This window comes from Homo sapiens, chromosome 15 (genome assembly GCF_000001405.40).
Source record: "Homo sapiens chromosome 15, GRCh38.p14 Primary Assembly".
NCBI classification, from domain to species: Eukaryota; Metazoa; Chordata; class Mammalia; order Primates; family Hominidae; genus Homo; species Homo sapiens.
Window position 1 is genome coordinate 62,002,165 of NC_000015.10, and position 16,888 is coordinate 62,019,052.

General features: G+C 36.4%; 1 protein-coding gene across 9 annotated transcripts in view; it reads right to left on the reverse strand.

Annotated features, from left to right (window-relative positions):
* The window catches only part of VPS13C (vacuolar protein sorting 13 homolog C), a 208,059-nt gene that overhangs the window by 149,776 nt on the left and 41,395 nt on the right, over positions 1 to 16,888 (reverse strand). For all 9 annotated transcript variants that reach the window (XR_007064464.1, NM_017684.5, NM_020821.3 and 6 more), the window contains 6 exons: positions 11,769 to 11,828; positions 10,875 to 10,955; positions 9,943 to 10,000; positions 8,308 to 8,435; positions 6,491 to 6,597; positions 5,144 to 5,315 (listed from right to left, as the gene is read on the reverse strand). Coding sequence is in view for 8 of the 9 variants with exons in the window: in NM_017684.5 (NP_060154.3) it covers positions 5,144 to 5,315; positions 6,491 to 6,597; positions 8,308 to 8,435; positions 9,943 to 10,000; positions 10,875 to 10,955; positions 11,769 to 11,828 (606 nt within the window). In the remaining variant the exon portion in view is untranslated. The remainder of the gene's footprint in view (positions 1 to 5,143; positions 5,316 to 6,490; positions 6,598 to 8,307; positions 8,436 to 9,942; positions 10,001 to 10,874; positions 10,956 to 11,768; positions 11,829 to 16,888) is intronic.

Genomic DNA, 16,888 nt, shown 5'->3' on the forward strand with positions numbered 1-16,888 from the left:
TCCTCTCCAGCACCTGTTGTTTCCTGACGTTTTAATGATCGCCATTCTAACTGGTGTGAGATGGTATCTCATTGTGGTTTTGATTTGCATTTCTCTGATGGCCAGTGATGGTGAGCATTTTTTCATGTGTTTTTTGGCAGCATAAATGTCTTCTTTTGAAAACTGTCTGTTCATGTCCTTTGCCCACTTTTTGATGGGGTTGTTTGTTTTTTTCTTGTAAATTTGTTTGAGTTCATTATAGATTCTGGATATTAGTCCTTTGTTAGATGAGTAGGTTGCGAAAATTTTCTCCCATTTTGTAGGTTGCCTGTTCACTCTGATGGTAGTTTCTTTTGCTGTGCAGAAGCGCTTTAGTTTAATTAGATCCCACTTGTCTATTTTGGCTTTTGTTGCCATTGCTTTTGGTGTTTTAGACATGAAGTCCTTGTCCATGCCTATGTCCTGAATGGTAATGTCTAGGTTTTCTTCTAGGGTTTTTATGGTTTTAGGTCTAACGTTTAAGTCTTTAATCCATCTTGAATTGATTTTTGTATAAGGTGTAAGGAAGGGATCCAGTTTCAGCTTTCTACATATGGCTAGACAGTTTTCCCAGCACCATTTATTAAATAGGGAATCCTTTCCCCATTGCTTGTTTTTGTCAGGTTTGTCAAAGATCAGATAGTTGTAGATACGAGGCGTTATTTCTGAGGGCTCTGTTCTGTTCCATTGATCTATATCTCTATTTTGGTACCAGTACCATGCTGTTTTGGTTACTGTAGCCTTGGAGTATAGTTTGAAGTCAGGTAGTGTGATGCCTCCAGCTTTGTTCTTTTGGCTCAGGATTGACTTGGCAATGCGGGCTCTTTTTTGGTTCCATATGAACTTTAAAGTAGTTTTTTCCAATTCTGTGAAGAAAGGCATTGGTAGCTTGATGGGATGGCATTGAATCTGTAAATTACCTTGGGCAGTATGGCCATTTTCATGATATTGATTCTTCCTATCCATGAGCATGGAATGTTCTTCCATTTGTTTGTGTCCTCTTTTATTTCATTGAGCAGTGGTTTGTAGTTCTCCTTGAAGAGGTCCTTCACGTCCTTTGTAAGTTGGATTCCTAGGTATTTTATTCTCTTTGAATCAATTGTGAATGGGAATTCACTCATGATTTGGCTCTCCGTTTGTCTATTATTGGTGTATAAGAATGCTTGTGATTTTTGCACATTGATTTTGTATCCTGAGACTTTGCTGAAGTTGCTTATCAGCTTAAGGAGATTTTGGGCTGAGACGATGGGGTTTTCTAGATATACAATCATGTCGTCTGCAAACAGGGACAATTTGACTTCCTCTTTTCCTAATTGAATACCCTTTAGTTCCTTCTCCTGCCTAATTGCCCTGGCCAGAACTTCCAACACTATGTGGAATAGGAGTGGTGAGAGAGGGCATCCCTGTCTTGTGCCAGTTTTCAAAGGGAATGCTTCCAGTTTTTGCCCATTCACTATGATATTGGCTGTGGGTTTTTCATAAATAGCTCTTATTATTTTGAGATACATCCCATCAATACCTAATCTATTGAGAGTTTTTAGCATGAAGGGCTGTTGAATTTTGTCAAAGGCCTTTTCTGCATCTATTGAGATAATCATGTGGTTTTTGTCTTTGGTTCTGTTTATATGCTGGATTACATTTATTGATTTGCGTATGTTGAACCAGCCTTGCATCCCAGGGATGAAGCCCACTTGATCATGGTGGATAAGCTTTTTGATGTGCTGCTGGATTCGGTTTGCCAGTATTTTATTGAGGATTTTTGCATCGATGTTCATCAAGGATATTGGTCTAAAATTCTCTTTTTTGGTTGTGTCTCTGCCAGGCTTTGGTATCAGGATGATGCTGGACTCATAAAATGAGTTAGGGAGGATTCCCTCTTTTTCTATTGATTGGAATAGTTTCAGAAGGAATGGTACCAGCTCCTCCTTGTACCTCTGGTAGAATTCGGCTGTGAATCCATCTGGTCCTGGACTCTTTTTGGTTGGTAAACTATTGATTATTGCCACAATTTCAGATCCTGTTATTGGTCTATTCAGAGATTCAACTTCTTCCTGGTTTAGTCTTGGGAGAGTGTATGTGTCGAGGAATTTATCCATTTCTTCTAGATTTTCTAGTTTATTTGCATAGAGGTGTTTGTAGTATTCTCTGATGGTAGTTTGTATTTCTGTGGGATCGGTGGTGATATCCCCTTTATCAATATTTATTGCATCTATTTGATTCTTCTCTTTTTTCTTCTTTATTAGTCTTGCTAGCAGTCTATCAATTTTGTTGATCCTTTCAAAAAACCAGCTCCTGGATTCATTAATTTTTTGAAGGATTTTTTGTGTCTCTATTTCCTTCAGTTCTGCTCTGATTTTAGTTATTTCTTGCCTTCTGCTAGCTTTTGAATGTGTTTGCTCTTGCTTTTCTAGTTCTTTTAATTGTGATGTTAGGGTGTCAGTTTTGGATCTTTCCTGCTTTCTCTTGTGGGCATTTGGTGCTATAAATTTCCCTCTACACACTGCTTTGAATGTGTCCCAGAGATTCTGGTATGTTGTGTCTTTGTTCTCGTTGGTTTCAAAGAACATCTTTATTTCTGCCTTCATTTCGTTATGTACCCAGTAGTCATTCAGGAGCAGGTTGTTCAGTTTCCATGTAGTTGAGCGGTTTTGAGTGAGATTCTTAATACTGAGTTCTAGTTTGATTGCCCTGTGATCTGAGAGATAGTTTGCTATAATTTCTGTTCTTTTACATTTGCTGAGGAGAGCTTTACTTCCAAGTATATGGTCAATTTTGGAATAGGTGTGGTGTGGTGCTGAAAAAAATGTATATTCTGTTGATTTGGGGTGGAGAGTTCTGTAGATGTCTATTAGGTCCGCTTGGTGCAGAGCTGAGTTCAATTCCTGGGTATCCTTGTTGACTTTCTGTCTCGTTGATCTGTCTAATGTTGACAGTGGGGTGTTAAAGTCTCCCATCATTAATGTGTGGGACTCTAAGTCTCTATGTAGGTCACTCAGGACTTGCTTTATGAATCTGGGTGCTCCTGTATTGGGTGCATATATATTTAGGAGAGTTAGCTCTTCTTGTTGAATTGATCCCTTTACCATTAAGTAATGGCCTTGTCTCTTTTGATCTTTGTTGGTTTAAAGTCTGTTTTATCAGAGACTAGGATTGCAACCCCTGCCTTTTTTTGTTTTCCATTTGCTTGGTAGATCTTCCTCCATCCTTTTATTTTGAGCCTATTTTTGTCTCTGCACGTGAGATGGGTTTCCTGAATACAGCACACTGATGGGTCTTGACTCTTTATCCAATTTGCCAGTCTGTGTCTTTTAATTGGAGCATTTAGTCCATTTACATTTAAAGTTAATATTGTTATGTGTGAATTTGATCCTGTCATTACGATGTTAGCTGGTGATTTTGCTCGTTAGTTGATGCAGTTTCTTCCTAGTCTCGATGGTCTTTACATTTTGGCATGATTTTGCAGCGGCTGGTACCGGTTGTTCCTTTCCATGTTTAGTGCTTATTTTTTTTATTTTTTATTTTATTTTATTTTTTTCTTGAGAGGGAGTTTCGCTCTTGTTGCCAGGCTGGAATGCAATGGCAGGATCTGGGCTCACTGCAACCTCCAGCTCCCAGGTTCAAACAATTCTCCTGCCTCAGCCTCCCGAGTAACTGGGATTACGGGTGCCCACCACCACGCCCAGCTAATTTTTTGTATTTTTAGTAGAGACGGGGTTTCATCACGTTGGCCAGGCTGGTCTCCAATTCCAGACCTCAGGTGATCCGCCCGCCTCAGCCTCCCAAAGTGCTGGGATTATAGGTGTGAGCCACCACGCCCGGCCGTGTTTCTACCTTTTAAAAGGGAGTACATAAGACCTCTTCTTTCCCGAGAAGTAAAAGCTGTTTTTTTGTTTTTGTTTTTTTTTAAAGAAATTCTTATTTTTTTTTTATTATTATTATACTTTAAGTTCTAGGGTACATGCGCACATTGTGCAGGTTTGTTACATATGTATACATGTGCCATGTTGGTGTGCTGCACCCATTAACTCATCATTTAGCATTAGGTATATCTGCTAATGCTATCCCTCCCCTCTCCCCGCACCCCACAACAGTCCCCGGTGTGTGATGTTCCCCTTCCTGTGTCCATGTGTTCTCATTGTTCAATTCCCACCTATGAGTGAGAATATGCGGTGTTTGGTTTTTTGTCCTTGCGATAGTTTGCTGAGAATGATGGTTTCCAGTTTCATCCATGTCCCTACAAGGGACATGAACTCATCATTTTTTATGGCTGCATAGTATTCCATGGTGTATATGTGCCACATTTTCTTAATCCAGTCTATCGTTGTTGGACATTTGGATTGGTTCCAAGTCTTTGCTATTGTGAATAGTGCCGCAATAAACATATGTGTGCATGTGTCTTTATAGCAGCGTGATTTATAATCCTTTGGGTACATACCCAGTAACGGGATGGCTGGGTCAAATGGTATTTCTAGTTCTGGATCCCTGAGGAATCGCCACACTGACTTCCACAATGGTTGAACTAGTTTACAATCCCACCAACAGTGTAAAAGTGTTCCTATTTCTCCACATCCTCTCCAGCACCTGTTGTTTCCTGACTTTTTAATGGTCGCCATTCTAACTGGTGTGAGATGGTATCTCATTGTGGTTTTGATTTGCATTTCTCTGATGGCCAGTGATGATGAGCATTTTTTCATGTGTTTTTTGGCTGCATAAATGTCTTCTTAGTAAAAGCTGTTTTTTATAAATAATATTTTGAAGTATTTTGAAAAGCCACTACCGTATAAATACAGGATGTTTACTAACAAAACAAGATATATCTATCTAATAAACACATATTTAAACAGCTCTGATACTGACTTCCTAAACATTATTATAAAAACCAGTCACCTTTCCCCAAATTGTTTACAGTAACCTTATTTTATCTGATATTTGCAGGGGGAAAAAAAGTTTTTTTAAAGAAGAAAAACTGGAAAAAAAAAATTCTGCATTTTCCCACATAATTCTCTCTCAAAAAGAGGTGAATTCTGTTCTTCCTAAAATTATTTTTTGATTCAAATTACATGCAGAAGAATATTAAAGGATGATTAGACAAATAATAGCTCTCACTAATATATGCAAGATATACCTGAATTTCTTTCTGTATTTCTTCTGAGACTTTAGACTGTGTTAACTTGTTTTTGTAGGCAATTTTATAACTCTTGAGTAACTGCCTGTGCTTTTTTATGTTACTCCATGACCACATCTGTGTATACCTTCTTATATGAACTTCAAGAACAGAATCAATTGCATATTTCCACCTGAAAATCAAATTTTGTTAACGTAAATGTTAATATAAAGGTTTAAGAGAAAACAGGAAAAGTCTTGACATTTTAGATCTTATGCTGTCAAATTTTTTGTTCTTCTTAACTGTCTTCCTATAAGAGCTCAGCAATTCCCAGTAAAATTGTCTGACTTAAATAGACTTAGATATAAGAAAACCCTTAAGGAACAGACTTTGCCAAAGCAAAATCCAAAAGGCACAAAACGACATGTGGGAAATAGCATTCCAGTATGGTTATAACACTGAGTCTATGTGGATGACTGATAAGCGATAAAACTTTTATAAAAATGTTGAATGTCTTGAATGTTAAGTTAAGAATTTGGGAACCGGCAGGGTGCTCACGTCTGTAATCCCAGCACTTTGAGAGGCCAAGGCGGGCAGATCACGAGGTCAAGATTTTGAGACCATCCTGGCCAACATGGTGAAACCCCATCTGTACTAAAAATACAAAAATTAGGCCAGGCACGGTGGCTCACGCCTGTAATCCCAGCACTTTGGGAGGCCGAGGAGAGTAGATCACAAGGTCAGGAGTTCAAGATGTCGAGATGCTGAAAGCCTGTCTCTACTAAAAATACAAAAATTAGCCAGGCGTGGTGGTGGGTGCCTGTAATCTCAGCTACTTGGGAGGCTGAGGCAGGGAGTTGCTTGAACCCAGGAGGTGGAGGTTGCAATGAGCCAAGATCGCGTCACCGCACCCCAGCCTGGGTGACAGAGCAAGACTCTGTCTCAAAAAAATAAAAATACAAAAATTAGCTGGGCGTGGTTGCACACCCCGTACCCCCAGCTACTTGGGAGGCTGAAGCAGGAGAATCGCTTGAACCAGGGAGGCACAAGTTGCAGTGAGCCAAGATCACATCACTGCACTCCAGCATGGGGACACAGCAAGATTCTATCTCAAAAAAAAAAAGAATTTGGGAACCTAGGAGCAGAAATACAAGTGGATGTTCATATGAAAAAAGTAATATGGACATACAAAAGAAGTGAAAGCTGTTTTTATAAGTAATCAATATATTTACCATTTGTCTTTTAATACTCTTGTCTCTTTTTTTAAAGTGGCTGAATTACTTGGCTTTTAAAGGTTGCTTAACTCTGAGAGTAACTAAATATATGATTATATGTTCCTCACAAAACAAAAAACAAATTCTAACTTACCATCGTCGACCATTGGTATGAAGTGGTAAATAAGGCTTGTATTTCCTATAAGGCGCATTCCTAACCATATAATCCACTGACTCCAAAAGGTCAATCATACTTAAGTACTGTTAAAACAAAAATAAAATTATATTTATTACACTGTATATATAAAAAAAAGACTAAATTTAATTCTATTTTTTAGGCTAGTGAGACTCCAAATACCCTGAACAATGTTGCCTGGTAGTCCAATAATATACTGTATTTCATCAAATTTAAGATGCTATCAATTACAAGTATACTACAGTTCATCAAATTTAAGACACTATCAATTTTAAGTTGTAATATAATTTTAGGTTCTACTACAAAAGAAAACTGCTGTTAATTAAATTGTCTTATCACCAATATATATACACATCCTATTTTCAAATGTTAAAATGCAAACTAAATGAACATCTTAGAAACAATGAAATATGGTATCTGTAAACTATGATATAAAATATGCCTGTTTCTAAGACTATATATTTTTCCTCTGGATCATCATTTCAGCAGTAGCTGTCTATGAGCTGATTTTGAAATTACTGCAAAAAATTATTGCATAACCAAAGCAACATAAAGCTATTTAAGCAGCCATCTTACCATCAACACAGCAACTCTGTGTAGATCTGACAAAACAGTTCAAATGGAGGGAAACATAAACCCAGAGGTAACATGAAAGCAGAGAAGATTAAAAAAAAAAAAGGGGGCAAGTCTAGCTTCCTCCTCTCTAATTTTTCACGGAATGCAGTTCTAACTAAAGGTTACCTACCATGCGGCTGTTTATCACTTGAAATGTGTCTAGTCTGAACTTAAATGTATTTTAAGTGATGTGAAATGTCTCATTATAACTTTTTACATTTATTATATGTTGATATGATTAATATTTTGGAAATATTAAGTTAAATAAAATGTATTATGAAAGTTAATTTCACCTTTTTCTTTTTACATTGTTAACACAGCTACTAGAAAATCTAAAATTACAACTTGCATTACATTTTTATTTAACAGAATTGTACAAAAAAGCTAAATTAGCTAAATCTCCTGTCCTCCTTTCACTTCCAGTTCACCAAGCCTGTCACCCCAACTCTCTGGGCATATAACCATGCTTGGGAAACAAATAGAGGAAAAAGCTGCCAACATAGCTGTTCTAAAAATTAAAGAAACAATATTTAATAAGAGTCTCTTCCATTAAAAACTGAGGAGGGAAAAACACATTAAAATCTTCCATCAACAGGCCAGGCGCGGTAGCTCACGCCTGTAATCCCAGCACTCTGGGAGGCCGAGGCGGGCAGATCATGAGGTCAGGAGATCGAGACCACCCTGGCTAACACAGTGAAACGCCATCTCTACTAAAAAAATACAAAAAAAATAGCCAGGAGTGGTGGCAGGTGCCTGTAGTCCCAGCTACTCTAAAGGCTGAGGTAGGAGAATGGCATGAACCCAGGAGGTAGAGCTTGCAGTGACCTGAGATCGCACCACTGCACTCCAGCCTGGGCAACAGAGTGAGACTCCATCTCAAAAAAAAAAAATCTTCCATCAACAATTGTGAGTCAAATGGAAATAATGTCATTCCCTGCAGTTTGATATGATTCTCCACACTTTAGGAAAAGATGAAATAAAATTTTAAAAAACTACTTAAATTTGAAATTCATTTTCTTTAAAACAAAAATTTTTAAACAGTCAAATCTCAACATAACAAACCCCAAAAAACCACCAACCACTAGAGAAGTAATAATCACAAATAAAAGCAGTCAAGATTCAAGGCTAATCAAAGCTGGAAATATCCACATGAATCATACCTGAGGTTTGGTCAGTTCAATGGCAATATTTTGTATTTCTATGTTGCAATCCAGTTTGGGCGTTTTGAGCTCTGATTCTGCATAAGGATTCATGTAGAGTTTTGCAGAGGCTGATATTGGCTGGAAAACTTACATCACATGGGAAGACATAAGATATGTTCATATGCTTTTACATATAAACAAGTGTAAATAATTATGAGAACACTGTTACTCTAGAAGTAAAGAAAAATGATCAAAAATGTGTGTAACAAAATCACTACCAAAAAATATTTAAGCAATTTAAGCTTCTACTTATATGCATAATAATAAGCTCGATGGTTAAAGCGAAATCTCCAAGGAGGAAATTGGAATCCCATGCTTCTAGGTAAGAAATGTATAAAAGAGACAGACAATCTACTCTTGGTTATTCACAGTCTGCATAAAATTAGACTTCTCTTCCTTGTTGCAAGACATTTAATGATTGTATTATTCATTAAAAATACTAATACAAAAAAGGAAATAAGATCTGATAAATTTGTCTTATTTAATCACTAGCAGAATTTAGTAACAAAATCATGAATAAAATTCATTCCAAAAAAAGAAACTGCTCACCACTTTATTATTGTCAAAATAATCATTACGTATATAACCTTAGAATCAACTAAAGAAAATAATCTTCAAGTTGAGAAGTAATATAAAAAGGTGTATCAGGGAAGATGATAGGGGAATGCAAGGTGATAAATTTTAACTGTGAATAGTATCAAACTATAAAAACTGTGATATCTCATGGTAATTACAATTTGCATAAGACTGTACAAAATTTTCAACTGCTTTAAAAGCTAGTTATAAATGGAAAATGCCTAAGAATGAAATTGTAGATTTTCCTTAACTATTTATTACCATTAATGAACCTAAATGATTTCACAAACTAGCAGCACTTGAAAGTTTTATCATCAAAAAATGTAGGGATCTATGTAACATAAGTGCCAACTATTATCCAGCGTCAATTAGTTATAAAAGAACACGAAGAAAACAACAGTGAACCAGAGTAATACGGAACAACGTGAGTATGAAAGCTGAGAAAAATCATAAAGGGGTATACTAATAAAAAACCAATAGCTTCATTACCATGAAACTGAAATAAAGAAAACAGATGGAAAAAATAAATAAATAACAGGAAGCTTTGTTAGAGATCCAGTTGTAAAATAAAGGTGAGGCTGCCAAGAAATAGAAAAGCTCACTAAAAAAATTCTCTAGAGTGGCAGGATTATGTTAACACTGCAATAGTAACATAAGGGTGACCTGAATACCAGAATCTCAGAGATTTAGTTACTTTTTGAAAAAAGAAAGAAAATCTAAATCCTAAAACAAAGAATACAGTAGCAAGCTAAGAAGAATACATGGAATTCAAAGAAAGTTGGCTGTAGGGAATGAACTACAGCTATACTGCCCTTCTCTCTCTCTTATTCTCCAGTGGTGTGTGTTACGATCTATTCCTAAATAATAAGTTATAACCCAAACATGTTGTATCATAATAGTAAGGTATAAAATTAATATACTTTGACTAAGTAAGTTTATCAGAAAACTATGTTAAAATAATGTATTTAATTCTATGTTTCTTCCTATAACATGAAATAAACTTTTACTATTACTTACTGTATTGATAATTTGGGGGTATATTTCCACTTGTAAGAATTTCATTTTTCAGCTGATCCTAAACAAAAAATTTGAATGAGAATGAAAAAGAAAATGCACACATATTCAGACTCAGACACACACACACACACACACACACACACACACACACAAAGCTTGGTTCTTCATCAATATCTTTGCTTCTCTGTTACTAGTAGTCAATAAGAAAAATACACGGAGCATTATTTATAAGTATAAAGATACAGAAGCAGATAATTTTAAGAATTCTGTATGTCTACAAACAACCTTGTAGTATGTCCACTCTGACTCCGAAAAAATGTACATATATGTATATCCATACACTGCGATTTCAGACACATTCTAGTCACAGGCAAATCATATGTTACAGTATCTTTCTGAGAAATCAGAGATAGAAGATTGAAATTTATCCAGTTCTAAAAATTGAATTGTTCTTTCTTTAATCTCTAAGTAAATAAACATGGCTAAGACTGGTTTAGCACATTGAAGTTTTGAATTAATCTTCTACTATTCAGAAAATCATCACAAATGTCTAAAACATGTGTCAAAGATACATGCTTTATATCTGAGAAATATTATCTTTATAATACTCTTAATCATTCTGATATGAAATATCAGAATGTGACAAGAATGTCATCAAAATGAGAATGTAAAAAAGCATAAATACAGTTTTAATTTAATACCATGGGCTCTGATATCACTGCCCAGTGAATGATTTCACAAACATCTTCAAAAACAAAACTGCTTTTGTGAAGACACATAGTGGATTTGAAAGGATGTTTTTCATATTTCTGATTTAGTGAAATACAAGTTAAACAAATGGCTGATATCCTGTCCTCATGAAGGCCCTCTTATATTAAACAAATTTAGGGATGGGAGTGAAGTTAGCTCTTCCAAGTATACATTAATATTACCAAAATCTGTTCCCTTGATCTCTGGTAAGACATGCTGCAATTTACATTCCAGTAGGCGCTAAGACTATCAAGTCGTATAAGCTATAAGAGAAAAATGAAAGAGATCAGGCAATCAACACACTGAAATTATGAATCAATATTAAAAGATTATTCTCATGTTCACCACTCCAAAATTACCCAAATGCCATTTTGAATTTTTAAAGGAAAGAAAATAACATAAAAATGAGGGGAAAATATATTCATGTTATTCAGACTTTATTAAGTCTAGCATTTGCTAAATTGCACTTTCAAGAACACTATTTCCAAGGAACTCATTCATTCAATTATCAAATATTTATTCAGAAATTAGTATTTAACAGACCCTGTAAATATTTTGCTGAAAAAAAAAAGACATGATCCCTCCAGCAGATATGAATAGCTGTTTCCTGAAAACAGGTGGTAGCAGAGGAGTCTATGGTCAACAAGGTGGGAAAGCTACATACTAAATAGCCCTCTTGGAGATTCACAGTGTTTGTTAACATATCTAAAGCTCTATAGTTTAAAATAAAATGAAACGTATCTGTTTAATTATGTATAGCTTAGTACTTTAATCAATAATCTTACTTGATCAGAGAATATTTTCTCTACAACATCTCAAAATATCTCAATATCTAATAAAGTACCATTTGGGAAGTATTAACTGTATCCTGTATCTTCACTTGATAGGTAAAGAACCTATATCTCAGAACTGGTAAGTGATTACAGAGGGTCACATAGTAAGTAGCAGGGCCAAAACTAGACCCTAGACTTTTAACTCACACTCCAATGGCATATTCTGCTCCATCAATGTTTCTTCAAGAAAATAAATTAAGTGCACCTAGGAAACTAACAAAAATTTTTATTCCAACATAATACCTTGTATATAATTTTGTCTGCTTCATTTAATATGCATGGAGTCCAGTGTTCATTTGCAGTCTAAAAGAAAAAAGGGAATACCTGTGAAACGTGGTATGGATGTCATTAATAGCGCTCTAATACTTACATAATGTAACAAAATAATTTAGGAAGAAATGACATCTACTTAATGTTAACTAGTATTAGCTATCTATTTCTTTACATATATTTATAAGACAAAATCAAAGAAACAATGAAAAGAGAATTGACATGATTCTAATTTGAGTTCATTCATTCAGAAAATAATTACTGGGTTAATATGTATTTGAACTGTGGAAAGAATCAGGTATGAATGAAAACAGAGAGCCAGCCTATACACTATTGAATATGGTATACATTCTTTTTAAAAAAACAAGTAATTGTTTTGTAATAGGAAGAAAACCAGGAGAGTATGGAAATTACAGCATGACCAAGTTTCTACAAGGACAGCATGTTCAGCAACACCAAACACTAAACTTATTTAGCAGCAAGGGCGTTATTGAGAAACTTGTTAAGAACTGTTTCAGTGGAGTAGTAGAGTGAGAGTACAGTGAGCACATAGGTAAAATGAGATCCAGATCAGAGGTGGGAGGATAACTTTAGATTTATAAGTTAGATTGTAATTGCAAAGAAAAATAAATGGTATGGATACAAAAGAGGTAGGTTTACTATTGCTGTAGTTGTTATAATAGCCACTATAATAGCAGGAAATAATTGAGCCAGACAATGTGCCAAAAGCTTTACATAAACTATCTCATTTAATCATCACAAAAACACTAAAAGGTAGGTACTACTTCAGTGAATGAATGTGGTTTTGACAGAAGGAGATTAACATGATAACCAGTACAATAATATTTTACAGGTCTTTGACAAAATACAATAGGAAGCATAAAAGAGGGAATGGTAAATTCTAAGAAGGAAGTGAAAAAGAATGAGAAAGAAAGGTCATATATTACTTAAGTATTAAAACTTGAGTAGAATCACCAGGCAGAAAGTAATACAGACAACTAAAGCAGAATGAAGAGTCTGAGCAAAGATACAAAGGGACAAACAGCAGCAAACACTAAGGAAACTACCCATTCTTATGCAATAGTATACCTGTTATCAGACAATAGGAGGTATATGACTATTTTGTATTTTTTGCATTGTCTGCTAGAAGCTCAAAGTTACTCTGCTCCCTTATGACCACTATCATTAGTCACAGTTTTCTGGAACAATTCTCTCTCTATCCTTTAGAACACAGATTCTATCCTCTTTAAAGGTGTTACTGTATACTTGTTTTTGTCGAAAGCTACCTCAAATTCATTTTGGAAACAGGCAAAGGATAAACTAGTTTCCTCCCATGTTGTAGGTTGCCTGTTCACTCTGATGGTAGTTTCTTTTGCTGTGCAGAAGCTCTTGAGTTTAATTAGATCCCATTTGTCAATTTTGGCTTTTGTTGCCATTGCTTTTGGTGTTTTGGACATGAAGTCCTTGCCCACGCCTATGTCCTGAATGGTAATGCCTAGGTTTTCTTCTAGGGTTTTTATGGTTTATTGCGGCACTATTCACAATAGCAAAGACTTGGAACCAACCCAAATGTCCAACAATGATAGACTGGATTAAGAAAATGTGGCACATATACACCATGGAATACTATGCAGCCATAAAAAATGATGAGTTCATGTCCTTTGTAGGGACATGGATGAAATTGGAAACCATCATTCTCAGTAAACTATCGCAAGAACAAAAAACCAAACACCGCATATTCTCACTCATAGGTGGGAATTGAACAATGAGATCACATGGACACAGGAAGGGGAATATCACACTCTGGGGACTGTGGTGGGGTCGGGGGAGGGGGGAGGGGGGAGGGATAGCATTGGGAGATATACCTAATGCTAGATGACACGTTAGTGGGTGCAGCGCACCAGCATGGCACATGTATACATATGTAACTAACCTGCACAATGTGCACATGTACCCTAAAACTTAGAGTATAATAAAAATAAAAAATAAAAAAAGAAGTCCAAAAAAAAAAAAAAAAAAAAAAAACTAGTTTCCTTCACTGCCTTTCCTTTGTTTCTTCAGCTCTCTCTTTTTCTTTATTGTTTCTGCTCTGTTCTTCAATGCGATGTGTATCTCTACTTCTCTATATGCCCACAACATTGTGAAGCCTTCCACATAACCATGTCCTTCTTTTTCTGTTTCTCTGCCAGTCTACCACCCTACCATTCTTCTTCCTCTTCTTTCCTTATTGAGGCCCTCTCCATATAAGTAGTCATAAGGCAAACTTGTCTGGTATGATATATGGTTCACTGTCCTTAACTTTATTTTATATATATATATATTTTTATTATACTTTAAGTTCTAGGGTACATGTGCACAACGTGCAGATTAGTTACGTATGTATACATGTGCCATGCTGGTGTGCTGCACCCATTAACTCGTCATTTACATTAGGTATATCTCTTAATGCTATCCCTCCCCCCTCCCCCGACCCCACAACAGGCCCCAGTGTGTGATATTCCCCTTCCTGTGTCCAAGTGTTCTCATTGTTCAATTCCCACCTATGAGTGAGAACATGCAGTGTTTGGTTTTTTGTCCTTGCAATAGTTTGCTGAGAATGATGGTTTCCAGCTTCATCCATGTCCCTACAAAGGACATGAACTCATCATTTTTTATGGCTGCATAGTATTCCATGGTGTATATGTGCCACATTTTCTTAATCCAGTCTATCACTGTTGGACACTTGGGTTGGTTCCAAGTCTTTGCTATTGTGAGTAGTGCTGCAGTAAACACATGTGTACATGTGTCTTTAGAGCAGCATGATTTATATTCCTTTGGGTATATACCCAGTAATAGGATGGCTAGGTCAAATGGTATTTCTAGTTCTAGATCCCTGAGGAATCGCCACACTGTCTTCCACAATGGTTGAACTAGTTTACAGTCCCACCAACAGTGTAAAAGTGTTTCTATTTCTCCACATCCTCTCCAGCACCTGTTGTTTCCTGACTTTTCAATGATCGCCATTCTAACTGGTGTGAGATGATATCTCATTGCGGTTTTGATTTGCATTTCTCTGATGGCCAGTGATGATGAGCATTTTTTCATGTGTCTGTTGGCTGCATAAATGTCTTCTTTTGAGAAGCGTCTTCTTTTGAGAAGTGTCTGTTCATATCCTTCGCACACTTGTTGATGGGGTTGTTTTTTTCTTCTAAATTTGTTTGAGTTCTTTGTAGATTCTGGATATTAGCCCTTTGTCAGATGAGTAGGTTGCAAAAATTTTCTCCCATTCTGTAGGTTGCCTATTCACTCTGATGATAGTTTCTTTTGCTGTGCAGAAGCTCTTTAGTTAAATTAGATCCCATTTGTCAATTTTGGCTTTTGTTGCCATTGCTTTTGGTGTTTTAGACATGAAGTCCTTGCCCATGCCTATGTCCTGAATGGTATTGCCTAGGTTTTCTTCTAGGGTTTTTATGGTTTTAGGTCTAACATGTAAGTCTTTAGTCCATCTTGAATTGATTTTTGTATAAGGTGTAAGGAAGGGATCCAGTTTCAGCTTTCTACATATGGCTAGCCAGTTTTCCCAGCACCATTTGTTAAATAGGGAATCCTTTCCCCATTGCTTGTTTTCGTCAGGTTTGTCAAAGATCAGATAGTTGTAGATGTGTGGTATTATTTCTGAGGGCTCTGTTCTGTTTCATTGGTCTGTATCTCTGTTTTGGTACCAGTACCATGCTGTTTTGGTTACTGTAGCCTTGGAGTATAGTTTGAAGTCAGGTAGCGTGATGCCTCCAGCTTTGTTCTTTTGGCTTAGGATTGACTTGGCAATGTGGGCTCTTTTTTGGTTCCATACGAACTTTAAAGTAGTTTTTTCCAATTCTGTGAAGAAAGTCATTGGTAGCTTGATGGGGATGGCACTGAATCTATAAATTATCTTGGGCAGTATGGCCATTTTCACGATATTGATTCTTCCTATCCATGAGCATGGAATGTTCTTCCATTTGTTTGTGTCCTCTTTTATTTCATTGAGCAGTGGTTTGTAGTTCTCCTTGAAGAGGTCCTTCACGTCCCTTGTAAGTTGGATTCCTAGGTATTTTATTCTCTTTGAATCAATTGTGAATGGGAGTTCACTCATGATTTGGCTCTCCGTTTGTCTGTTATTGGTGTATAAGAATGCTTGTGATTTTTGCACATTGATTTTGTATCCTGAGACTTTGCTGAAGTTGCTTATCAGCTTAAGGAGATTTGGGGCTGAGACGATGGGGTTTTCTAGATATACAATCATGTCATCTGCAAACACGGACAATTTGACTTCCTCTTTTCCTAATTGAATACCCTTTATTTCTTTCTCCTGCTTGACTGCCCTGGCCAGAACTTCCAACACTATGTGGAATAGGAGTGGTGAGAGAGGGCATCCCTGTCTTGTGCCAGTTTTCAAAGGGAATGCTTCCAGTTTTTGCCCATTCACTATGATATTGGCTGTGGGTTTTTCATAAATAGCTCTTATTATTTTGAGATACATCCCATCAATACCTAATCTATTGAGAGTTTTTAGCATGAAGGGCTGTTGAATTTTGTCAAAGGCCTTTTCTGCATCTATTGAGATAATCATGTGGTTTTTGTCTTTGGTTCTGTTTATATGCTGGATTACATTTATTGATTTGCGTATGTTGAACCAGCCTTGCATCCCAGGGATGAAGCCTTCTTGTCCATGGTGGATAAGCTTTTTGATGTGCTGCTGGATTCGGTTTGCCAGTATTTTATTGAGGATTTTTGCATCGATGTTCATCAAGGATATTGGTCTAAAATTCTCTTTTTTGGTTGTGTCTCTGCCAGGCTTTGGTATCAGGATGCTGCTGGACTCATAAAATGAGTTAGGGAGGATTCCCTCTTTTTCTATTGATTGGAATAGTTTCAGAAGGAATGGTACCAGCTCCTCCTTGTACCTCTGGTAGAATTCGGCTGTGAATCCGTCTGGTCCTGGACTTTTTTTGGTTGGTAAGCTATTAATTATTGCCTCAATTTCAGAGCCTGTTATTGATCTATTCAGAGATTCAACTTCTTCCTGGTTTAGTCTTGGGAGGGTGTATGTGTCGAGGAATTTGTCCATTTCTTCT